Raw genomic sequence first — 12,105 nt, forward strand, 5'->3', positions numbered from 1 at the left:
CAAGTCACAGTGGCATATCTGGAATTTGGGGCAGAGCTGGGGGTCTGGGAGAGCAGGCCAATAATTACCAGTAATAGGCCAGTGGTCTGGGCAATGTGGGTGGGCCAGCTGAATTTCAGGACCATGAGGAGATAGACATTCCCCCCATGATCATATGATCATCACATTTGGAAGGATTTTGCAACTTAGCTACAACTATTATGTAATAATTCACTCATTTTCAGTTTTTAAAATAAAAAGCAATAAAATTATAAAGCAGGGCTTCTGATTAGCATAATCTGAAGTTTGCCCATGTTTCTTCCAGAAAAGATGTAATGCAAGCCCAAAGCAAAAGTATTTGACTTGTGAGTTGCCTGGTGGGCTTCTCAAAGACAAGCACATGGTTCCCCATCTGGATTTTGGAAATACTGACAACAGTGGATGCCTTCTCATTACTTACCTCCTTTGTATCCTGGGTCAAGAGATGTCAAGCTAGCCAAACTGACCTAGCCCAAGACTCATATTAGAGATGACAAAGTTTGTGCCCAGAAAAGGTAAAAGAAGACCCTTGGTCCCTGTTGAAAAAGGAAGAACAAAGCAGTGGCAGGCTAGGCAGGACTAAGGGCAGGCCAGACCTCTCCCCTGAACCAAACAAGGGACAGTTCTTTAAGCCCTCTGTTTCTAGATGTTAGAGGAAGGTAATTGGGAAGAAATTAGTTCCACTTAACAAGACTTGATTAAGCCTCTGTTTTGAGGAAGGCAGAAACTGTGGTTGACTCTGGAAGGTAGGGATGACCAGCACAGGTTTCTGCCCCAAGAGCCCTAAGTTTGAGTTAGATTGGTAGGGTGGACTTGAGTTGACATTGAGCCCACCCTGAACCACATGACTTCAGGACACATAACTCTTTGGTAAGGCTTTTTTATTTCCGCTAAGATTTTTCTTGATATCAACCCAAAATTCCACTCTCCACTCATGCATTCCCTCACCCACCACTCATCTGTCATCCATCCAGTGTCTTACAACCACTCCCATATCCAATCCACATATTCACCACCCATCCACCTATTGCTCCACCAACTTGCCTCCCATTCTATATCCATGCATCCACCGACCATCCATCCAATCACATGCCCTCTATCTCACTGTCAGCCACCACCTATCCATGTCTCCTTCTATCCACCATCCACCTAGCTATTCATTCACAAACCCACCCATCTCCCACCTACTTATCTATCCTACCCACCACCTCTCCATTCACTCATCCTTCCACCCACACACCACCCTCCCAGAATCCATTCATCCATTTACATATCTATCTGATTCTTTATTCATTCAACATTTATTGAGAGATATAGTGGTGAGTAAGTCCCACTCTATATCCTCTGGACATTCACAATTTAGCATATAAAGATAATATCATTTGATAAAAAGTTTACTAGGGAAATAGAACAGGAAGAATTAATGATGAACTGACTGGAAGCATCAGAAAACAGTGCCTAGATGAGAGGGCATTTGAGCTGGGCCTGGAAGATATTATGGATTTCACCAGTCATTCCTGGCAGAGGAAGCAGCCTAAACAAGGATTTGCAGGTGTGAAGAAACACTCTGAAGTTTTGTGAATTGTTGTGAACAGCTGATACTTAAGATGGTGGAAATGGGAAAAAGACTGCTAGGAGGTAAGGTTGGATAGGTTATCTGGGACCAGTCTTGAGAAAGATTTTGCATCCCATGCTATGGAGGTTGAACTTCATTCCAAAAAGCCAGAATCATCAAAGTGCCATGACCATGATTTGTACTACAGAATAATCTCTGGTGATACTCATTAAGCTGAGAGAGAGGAAAGAAACAAGAGGCAGAAGAACCAGTTAGAAGACGATTTCATTATTCTAAATAAGAGAGGGCAGGCATCTGGCTGTAGGAGTGGAGTGGAGATGACAAAATTTAAAAACAATTTAGGTGGTTGAGTCATTTGCATTAGTGTAACTGAGGTTTCTACCAGGGGCCACAGAGTTGACAGTGAGGTTACTTGCTAAGATGGAGCAAGAGGAACCAGACTGTGCAGCCAGAGGAAGAGGATGCGAGAAGCAATAATCTCGATTTTGCCTGAGAAACAGGTGAATCTGGAATACTAAAGGCAGGTGGTATTCAGTCCAGAACTCAGAAAAGGTACCCTTCAGGTGGTAGGTGTGGCTGGGGCATAAGGGGTGCATAGAGAGACCAGAAGGGCAAAATAGAATGCTGGGTAGCATGAGACATTAGGGTGGCAACAAAGAATGCTTACCAATGGGAAACAAGGAAACTGAGAAACCAGATGCCAAGTGAGAAGAGATTTTTTCATAAATATTATCATTATTTTGTGTGCTATTCTTGTTATTATTTAACTTTATATTTTCAAATCATTTTAGACTTACTGAAAAGTTGTGAAAATAGTGCAGCATTCTCATATACCCTTCACTCTGTTTTCCATAATTTTAATGACTTGCCTAACTGTAGTACACATATCAAAATCAGAAAATTAACATAAGCACAATACTATTAACTAAACTACTGATTTCATGCATGTTCACCAGTTTTTCCACTAGTGTCATTTTTTTATGTTCCAGGATCCAATCCATGATATCATGTTCTACATTTAGTTGTGTCTTTTTAGTGTCTTCTAGTCATTGAGGAGAGGAATTTGAGGAGAAAGAAATGGCCCAAGTTAAATACTGAAGATAAGCCTGGTGGGATGAGTATTATAAAGATACTATTAGTCTTGGTAATTGTTGGAGTCTGCTCCAGTTTCTATTGCTGCATGATATATTATCCCAAAGCTTAGTCCCTTAAAACAATAGCAATCATTTTATTATCTCTCAGTTTCAAACAGGGCACAGCAGAGATAGCTTGTCTTTACCCCACGATGTCAGGGCCTCACTAAGGAGACTCAAAGTCTGGGGGCTGGAATGATCTGGAAGCATCTTCACACACATGTCTGATAGTAGATACGGGCTGCTGGCTGGAACCTTAGCTGAGCTATCAGCCAGAGCACCAACATGTGGCCACTCTGTGTGGCTGCTGGGCAGGCTTCCTTACAGCATGGTGGCTAGATTCTAAGAGTGAGTACCTCAACAGGTGAAAGCTGAAGAAATCACACACTGTCATTCCACTACAGTCATAGACATGCTCAGATTCAGGGTTGGGGGGAACATAAACCCCGTGTCTTGAAGAAAGGACTGGCAATGTCACATTATAAGGTGATCACATGGTATGGGAAAGCGTTTTATGGCCATCTTGGAAAATATAGTCTCAATAAGGCTTTCAGTTTTCAGGGGTGTGGTGGGACAAAAAGTTAGGTTGAGACGAGCATGGGGTAAAATAGCAATAAGGAGCTAGAGAGAGCATGTTGTATATTTTCATAGGTAATTTGGTATTTTAAGGGCACAGGGCACCTTGAAGAGGAAGTGTAGGAAGCAAGCGTTTATTTTAGGAAAAGAGATAAATTGAATGTGTAGAGAGGACTAGATTGCAGAGATTAAAGAAATAATTGGTGGAACAAATTTCCTGAGAAAACTAAGAGGGATAGCATCATGCAGTTGCCAAGAAAATGGGCCCTGGAGCCAGATGGTCTGTGTTCAAGTCCTCACTCTCCTAATCACTACTGGGTAGCCTTGAGTAAGTTGCTTCTCCTCTTTGCACCTCAGTTTTCCCACCTTTAAAATGAAGAAAATAATAGAGCAAACCTTTTAGAGTTGTTCTCAGTAGAAGATAAAATATTGAAAGTGTGGCTGGAACAGAGTGAATTGCTCATAGCATGTTAGCTACACATAGCTAAGAATCAGGACAAGGGAGGTGTCATTCTGAACAAGGAAAAGGAGTTATTCTTGGCAAGGAAAGGGGATGCTTTTCTTCAGAAAAGAATGAAAAACAGAAAAAAGTAAAGTTTGAAGGCAGGGGAGATGGAATCTGGAGAATTTATGCCTCAACTTGCCTTTGATTTGTCTTCCAATTAGGAAATTAGGGCACGTAACAAGACTGAGGGAGCTGTAACTGGGTTGTGAGCTTGAGGAGAGAAGAAAAAGTTAGGAGCAGCCACCTTAATGGGAAATGGTGAGTGGGGACAGTGGGGCTGGGTGGGGATTCCCTAGGCTGGGTAAAAGATGACCACCCTTTGTCAGTAGTTCTGCTGAAGTGGAAAAAGATCAGTTTACAATCTCCTTCTGAGACACAGTTGTAAGATTCTTTCCAACAGGGTGACTGGTATTGGAGGGGAAAAACAAAGGTTTGGTACTCTGGTAGAAAGACCAAGGTGGAAGGATACTGAGGATGCTGATAAGGTCATGATGCTAACGACTGGCAGTGGGGGATGTCCAAGCCAGTCTGGGAAAGAGAGGAGAGAGTGTTTACTGAGGAATGGGAGAAGAGGAGAGCCTGGGGGCCTGGTGGACACAGGAGGGTTAGATCAAAGAAATGAGAGAGTGAGAGGATAGGAAATGGTGGTTAAGGAAGAAAATTTCTGAGCTGGCAGCTTTCACATGTACACAGAACATGGCCAGAAAAGAAGTGTACACACATTATTTGCTTTGGCCCTTTTCTACCCACTAGGATTCTGCCTTTACCTACTTCCTACCTGGTTGTCTTCCTTTCTGCTGCTATAACAGCATACTACAGGCTGGGTAATTTAGAACTTTAGAATAAAGAATATAACTTTATTTGGCTCATGTTTCTAGAGGCTGGGAAGTCTAAGAACATGGCACAGTCATCTGGTGAAAGCCGTCATGCTTCATCATTCCATGGCAAAAGGGAAAATGAGCATATGAGACAGGAAGAAAAAGGGAGCCAAACTCCCACAATGCCTAGCCCACTCCTGCAATAATGGGATTAATCCATTCATGAGAGCAAAGCTCTCATGACCTAATAACCTCTTAAAGGGCCCACCTCTCAACACTGTTATAATAGCAATTACATTTCAACATGAGTTTGGAGGGGACATTCAAATCATAGCACTGGCCTTTCTCATGAAGCTCACCCAACACACACACACACCCACATACTCACATACAGTCTTACTCAGGTCCTCTGATCCCTGTGTTGCTAAGGTTTCTTGCTAGGACATCCCACAAAATCCCTGGCGGTTGCTAATGCTCACCAAAAGAGAAAGAAAGGCTTGAGAGTGTGGAGAACAAAAAAGGAGTCACCCAGACTTGAGATAATAAGAAATGTTGGGCATGTTGAGTGACCCAGCCTGTTAGTGCCCTGAGGCCTGGCATCTCAGTGTGTGAAATGCGAAAGTTATTTTTATGTGAAATTTCCCACAGTCTTGTCACCTGGCGCATCCTGCCCGGGTGGTGTTGATGTAAAAACAACTTGAAAGAAAAACAAACCAGAAAAATGAAGAAGTTCACATTCGTTAAGCAAAGAAAACATTTCCCTCCTAAAATTAACTCTGAAACTCTATCTTGGTGGTTGACTGTGACAGAGGGAGGGCATGAAATAAAAGACAGTATTATTTAGATTTAGGGCATACTTCCTAGTCCATGGGGTTCAGCAAGTTTCTAAAACTGTAGGATTCTTTGCATTATCTAAGTAATAATAACTACAATAATAAAACTTCTTATTTATTGATAGCTTACTATGTTCTGGTCACAATGACAAGCACTTTTCCTACATTTTCCCATTTAATCCTCGTAACACTCCTATGAGGCAGATGTTATAATTCTCCATTTACAGAAAAAGAAACTTAAAGCTTCAATTAAATAATTTACCCAATATAACACAGCAAATGATAAAACTGGATTTGAATCCAAGAGTATTTGATCCCCTGAATCCAGGTTTAGTCACTTCACTATATGGAAAATATGGAAAAGAAAAAAAAAATTCACTCAAAAGCAGCATTGTGACATAGTGTTTGGGTGTATTTTCACCTTGCCTCTTTTCATGTTTTAATTTGTGTGTGTTTGTGAGTATGAATCTATGTAATTATCACATACTGCTTTAAGCAAATTTTCTTCCCCTTCCCAGTCAACATTATACAACGTTTCTTCGCCCATGGTACTATCCAATCATCCTAGCCATCATTTTAAATATATTCATAATGTTTCATCTGGTAAATGCACCACAATTTATTCTATCAGTCCCTTGTAGCTGAAAGTTTAGATTTGGTATTTGTGTTGCTGCTGTTATAGTATTCCCCTGCATACAGTGTTTTTCAGATTTATGATCTTGTCTTTAGACTAGATTCCTTTGGATAGAAGTGGAATTGCTAAGTCTAGCCATATGAACATTTTTATGGATCTTAATTTGTGTTTACCAAATGCCTTCCCAACATAGTTTTATTAATTGACATCATTGTCAGCAATAATTTTGCCACACCCTCAGCAGCACTAGGTAAGATTTTAGGCAATTTTATAGGAAAAAATGGCACCTCATTATTTTAATTTGCAATTATTTTCTTACTAGTGAGGCACGACATTCTTCTAAATGTTTGTGAACTAGTTGTATTTTCTCTTTGGCAAATTATCTACTCTTGTTCTTTGCCCATTGAAATATTAACAACTGAATGCTTTTGTTTTCTCTCCATTTTCTGATTTCTATATAAAAATAAATTTGCTGCAGTATTTTATAAATGTTGTGTGCATGTATGTTATATATATAAACAAATATTTTTAACTAAGAATAACTATAAAGTTAAACTGGTTAGTCTCTTTCCTTTCTGGTGTCTTCTGTCATTTCAACACATAGAAAGTTCTTCTTCCCCCAGAGGTTTGCTAAATGTACACTTCTATTTCCTTCTGGTTTTTCTACTAGATATTTTAAAAATTATATGTCTCTCTTTAATCCATGTGATATTTATTTTGTGTATGTAGTGAAAGAGGATGGCTGACTCCAAAGAAGACCACCAGCCCTTCCTTGAACAATGAAATTCATAGACAATCCAACAACAACAAATGGAAACCAACTAATCATTTCACATTATTCCTCAGCTAAGTCTTTCCAAAGAACTGATAGATTATGTCATAAAATTGACTGGGGAAAGTTTATTTCCCTTGTCCAGCCTTTGGTTGAAGGGCTGATAAACTGTGAAATGACTCAAAAGAAAGCAGACAAAGGGCCTGGGTAGCCCATAAACTGGTCAATAAACCCTCCTCCCCCAACAATTGAGAGGTACATATGGAATGCCAAGCACCAAGTCAAGAACTCACTGAGACAATAATAGGATACAGAGAATAGTTTTCAGTCTTCACTTTTCTAGGCGTCTATGTAGCATTTGACACTGTTTGCCAATTTACAGAATCTCCCTACTCCCTTGACTTCCCTTAAACCATCTCCTGTTCTCTGAACTCTTCAACTATTCCTCAATCTCCTTTTCTGGCTCCACTCCTTTAATGTTTATCTTTCCTGGATTTTGTCTTCAACCTTCTTTGTTCCTCCTTCTGCTCACTTTCCCTGGATAAACTCATCTGCTCGCATGGCTTCAATTACCATCTACATGCTGATAATTGCAAAATTCATGTCTCCTCTGAGACTATCCCTTGAACTGCTCACAGGACACATCCATCTGGAGGTTCTCACCTGTGCTTCAAATCTATTAGATCCAAAATGAGCTCACCAGCCCACACTATCACTACCACCATCAAAATAGCCTCTTTCATTTTTCTCTCTTGGATACACTGACTCACTAAAGGACCACATTTTCCATCTGGTTAACACTGTCCCAACCCAGTCCTTTTCATTCTACCTCCTTCAAACCCCTTAAATCCATCTCTGCTTATTGCATTCATATGCAACCTCTTTGGTTTCAGCACCCATGTGGATTATTGCAATAGTCTCAAAACTGGCTTCCTGGACCCGCTTCAGGGATCCCTCATGGAATTTCCCAGGAAAGATGCACAGGGCCTTTTGTGATAAAGCCCATGCTTACTTTCTCATTCTTATTTCTTTTCCCTCCATCCCCAACACCCCACACAGTAGCATGACTTTGTGCATGCTATTCTTACCGCCTATAATGCCGTCCTTTGCCCCTGCATCCTCATTTCCAAGCTTTTGGTGGTCTTAGTGGGTCTCCTTGGCTACACCATGGCTGGACTTCATGTGCATTCTGTTAAGGTGGAGATGAGAATCAGACCCCCACCAGCCTCTCCCTTCCTCATCCTCTTGGGGCTCATCTCTGGGAATAGACACATAATATTTCATGAGGTTCGCTCTAATAAGGTTAATGGCTTGTCTAAATCCAGGTCAGAAAGCTGGATAAAATATTTTTTTCTGCCTTTTTAGGGCTTATTTGGGGACTGCCGACTTGTAAGAAAGCCAAGATGAAAGTACAATTTGATTTCCATTTTTTAAAAAAGAAAACTCACGTGTGTTTCATTCTTCACACTTGGATGCTCTTTAGTATTCTTTGTAAGATTCTTTCTCCAGGGTGGCTTAGCTGAGCTGTGTGGCTCTCAAATAAGCTTCAGGGCCAGACCTGTATTTGCATACATAATCAGAACTGCCTGTCTGCACTAGTCTCCCCAGGAGGCATCTTGCTTGGGAAAAGGCTCAGGCTGCCCCCTAAAATGTGGGTGGCATCTTCCTGGCTAAGAGGATCCCTGACTGCTCAAAACAGCACAGTTTCTGAATGCCAGAGAGGTCTTCATATAGCCAAATTGGGTCAGCAGATTTTGTGTTCTTAATCATGTATTCTTGTTTGATTTATTAGTCTGCTACTATGTGCCAGGCACTGTGTGGGTGTTGATGATGCTGTCCTAGTTTGGGTTCCCCCAAAAGTAAGCCTGAGACAAGGTCTAAGATACAGATTGTTTATTCAAGAGAATACCTAGGAGGCACAATCAAGGGAATGAGAAAAGTGTGGCAGGGAAGGAAGAAAAGCTATTGACGTTAATAAGCAGGTTACCACTGGGCAACTTAGGCGCCATCTCCCTGAGGACTCTCTGAGGCACCATGTGGAACATCCTGGGAATACTCTTAAAAGAGGACCGAAAGCCTGGGGCATCAATCCACCAACTCCCATCCCTAGGGTGTTAACTTCTTTGGCCCCAGAGGTATTAATTTCCTTACATTACAGGGTTATGCCTACTGCAGCAGATCATGCTCCCAAGGTTCTGGGGAAACCCTGAGACACAGAAGCAAAAAAAGGCAGGCTCTTGAGGTTGGAAGTTATCAGTGTACTTTGAACCATACACTGTGGCTGCAGGTAACTTGGGTCGGCCAAGGTGATACAGGCTGAGGATTAGACACCAACAGGGTCTGCTACAGATGGAGAGATGAATTAGACACGTTACCTCTGCCCTCAAAGAACTCATTAGCTTATGGTAAAGACAAACAAGCAATCTAACCACCAGATGCTGGGATAAGTCTTGGCTTGGTGATCAATACAACCTGCATGGGGGCATGTAATTCACCCTGGGCTGGGAGAAGTGAAAGATCAGTGATATCTTCTAGAAGACACAATAGTTGGGCCGGCCAATCCTTGAAGGATGCACATTCTTCAGGCACAGAAGGAGGAGCAATGAGCTTTAGGGTGCACAGGCAGTGAGCCCTGAGTGTGCAAGGCACGTGCAGTGTGAAGTGCAGGCTTCCTGGCCTTGCCAAAGCATTGGCTTCATTATAGGGAGCAGTAGGAGGTTGGCCAGAATGTAAACAGGGGCCAGATTGTGCAGGAACTTGAATCTACCTGAAGAAGGCGTTTACATTTCAGCCCCCATGAGGCAATGAGGGCCCATCAGTGTTTAAATAGTGACATGTTCTGAGCTTTAGCAAGCTCTCTCAGAAAGCAGCTTTGAGGGTGGGTTGGATGGTGACAGGTGAAATTTGAGCCCAAGGATCATGATTAGGAGTTTTGCCAGCCAGGCTCTGGGCAGGAAACAGATGGCACTCTCAAAAGGAGTGGAAGAGTTCCCAGACATCAGAGAGTCCCATGGCTATAAGAGAGGGCCACTCAACAGGAGCTGGGGCCTTAGGTAGAGGAAAGCAGCCAGAATCAACCTCAACCTGGTAGGGAGGGTGGAGGAGCCAGGGGAACAAATACTCCCACTTGTCTGCTTGCCCACCCTCTTAGCTTCTGCCAGAAACTCTCCTTGGTAAAATCCAACCATAAGCCAGATGGTGGGGCTTCCCAGTTGATGTACCCCACAAAAGCCAGCCTTTCTGGGGTTCAGAGGAGGGTGGATGATATAGTTTGGATCTGTGTCCCTGTTCAAATCTCATGTCAAATTGTAATCCCAATATTGGAGGTAGGGCCTGGTGAGAGGTAATTTGATCATGGCAGTGGGTTTCTCATGCATGGTTTAGCACCATCTTCCTTGGTACTGTCCTTCTAACAGTGAGTGAATTCTCATGAGATCTGGCCATTTAAAAGTATGTAGCACTTCCCCCATGTCTCTCTTGCTCCTGTTCCTGCCATGTGAGATATCTCACACCCCCTTTGCCTTCTGCCATGATTGGAAGCTTCCTGAGGCCTCCCTAGCAGCAGAAGCCACTATGCTTCTTCTGTAGCCTGCAGAACTATAAACCAATTACACCTCTTTTTAAAAAAATATATTACCCAGTCTCAGGTATTTATTTATAGCAATGCGAGAATGAATAATACAGAAAATTGATACCACTTCCACATGTTTAGGTATAAAAGATACCTGTATAAAGATATCTAAAAGTGTGGAAGTGACTTTGGAACTGGAAAACAGGCAGAGGTTGGAAGACTTTGGAAGGCTCAGAAAAAGACAGGAAGATGAAGGAATGTTTGGAACTTCCTAGAAACCAGTTAAATGGTTGTGAGCAAAATGCTGATAGTGATATAGACAGTGAAGGCCAGGATGAGGAGGTCTCAGACAGAAATGAGGAACTTCTTGGGAACTGGAGCAAAAGTCCCTTTTGTTATGCCTTAGCAAAGAAATTGGCTGCATTGTGACCCTGCTCTAGGGATCTGTGGAACTTTGAACTTGAGAATGATTATTTAGAGCAGGGGTCCTCAACCTCCAGGCTACCAACTGGTGCCAGTCCATAACCTGTTAGGAACTGGGCTGCACAGCAAGAGGTGAGCAGCAGGCGAGTGAGCATTACCACCTGAACTCTGCCTCCTGCCAGATCAGTGGCAGCATTAGATTCTCACAGGAGCATGAACCCTTTTGTGGACTGTGCATGCAAGGGATCTAGATGGCATGCTCCTTATGAGACTCTAACTAATGCCTGATGATCTGAGATGGAACAGTTTCCTCCTGAAACCAACCCCCTCCACCCTGTCCATGGAAAAATTGTTTTCCATGAAACTGGTCCCTAGTGCCAAAATGATTTAGGGTATCTGGCAGAAGAAATTTCTAAGCAGTAAAGCATTCAAAATTTGGCTTCTTCTAACAACCTATGCTCATGTGTGTGACCAAAGAAATAACCTAAAGTTGGAACTTATATTTAAAGGGGAAGCAGAGCATAAAAGTTTGGAGAGTATGCAGCCTGCCCATGTGGTAGAAGAGAAAAGCCCATTTTCAGGGGAGGAATTCAAGCAGGCTGCAGAAATTTGCATAAGTAAAAAAGGAGCCAAGTGTTAAGACCCAAAACAATGGGGAGAAGGCCTCAAAAGCTTTTTGGTGACTTTCTTGGCAGCCCCTCCCATTACAGGCCTGGAGGCCTAGGAGGACTGAATGGTTTTGTGGGCCCTGCTGCCCTGCACAGCCTTGAGACACTGCTCCCTGCATCTGGACTGCTCCAGTTCCACTCATGGCTCAAAAGGGCCAAGGTAAAGCTTGGGCCACTGCTTTAGACAGACCATAAGCCTAGGCAGCTTCCAAGTAGTATTAAACCTGCAGATGCACAGAGTGTAAGAGTTGAGGCTGGGGAGCCTCCGCCTCAATTTCAGAGGATGTATGGAAAAGCCTGGATGTCCAGGCAGAAGCCTGTTGCAGGGGCAGGGCCCTCATTGAGAACCTTTACTAGGGCAGTGTGAAGGGGAAATGTGGTGCTGAATTCCACACAAACAATCCCAACTGGGGCACTGTCTAGTGGAGCTGTGAGAAAAAGGTCATGATCCTCCAGACCCTGGAATGGTAGATCCACCAGCAGCTTGCAGAACACTATGCCTGGAAAAGCTACAGGCACTCACCACCAGCCCATGAGTGAGGCCATGGGGGCTGAACCCTGAAAAGCTGCAAGGGCAG

At 42.8% G+C, this 12,105-nt stretch overlaps 1 long non-coding RNA gene across 2 annotated transcripts in view; it reads right to left on the reverse strand.

Moving 5' to 3' along the window:
• LOC105373175 (uncharacterized) overlaps positions 1–8,377 on the reverse strand; it is a 111,327-nt gene extending 102,950 nt beyond the window's left edge. The window contains exons 1-2 of one of the 2 annotated variants that reach the window (XR_007068217.1): positions 8,314–8,377; positions 7,954–8,054 (exon numbers count right to left, since the gene is read on the reverse strand). This is a non-coding gene — a long non-coding RNA (uncharacterized LOC105373175). Of the gene's footprint in view, positions 1–7,953; positions 8,124–8,313 lie in introns of both variants that reach the window. The other variant, XR_007068216.1, reaches the window with a different exon arrangement.
• Between the last annotated feature and the right edge of the window lie 3,728 nt (positions 8,378–12,105).

Source organism: Homo sapiens, chromosome X, assembly GCF_000001405.40.
Source record: "Homo sapiens chromosome X, GRCh38.p14 Primary Assembly".
Lineage (NCBI taxonomy): Eukaryota > Metazoa > Chordata > Mammalia > Primates > Hominidae > Homo > Homo sapiens.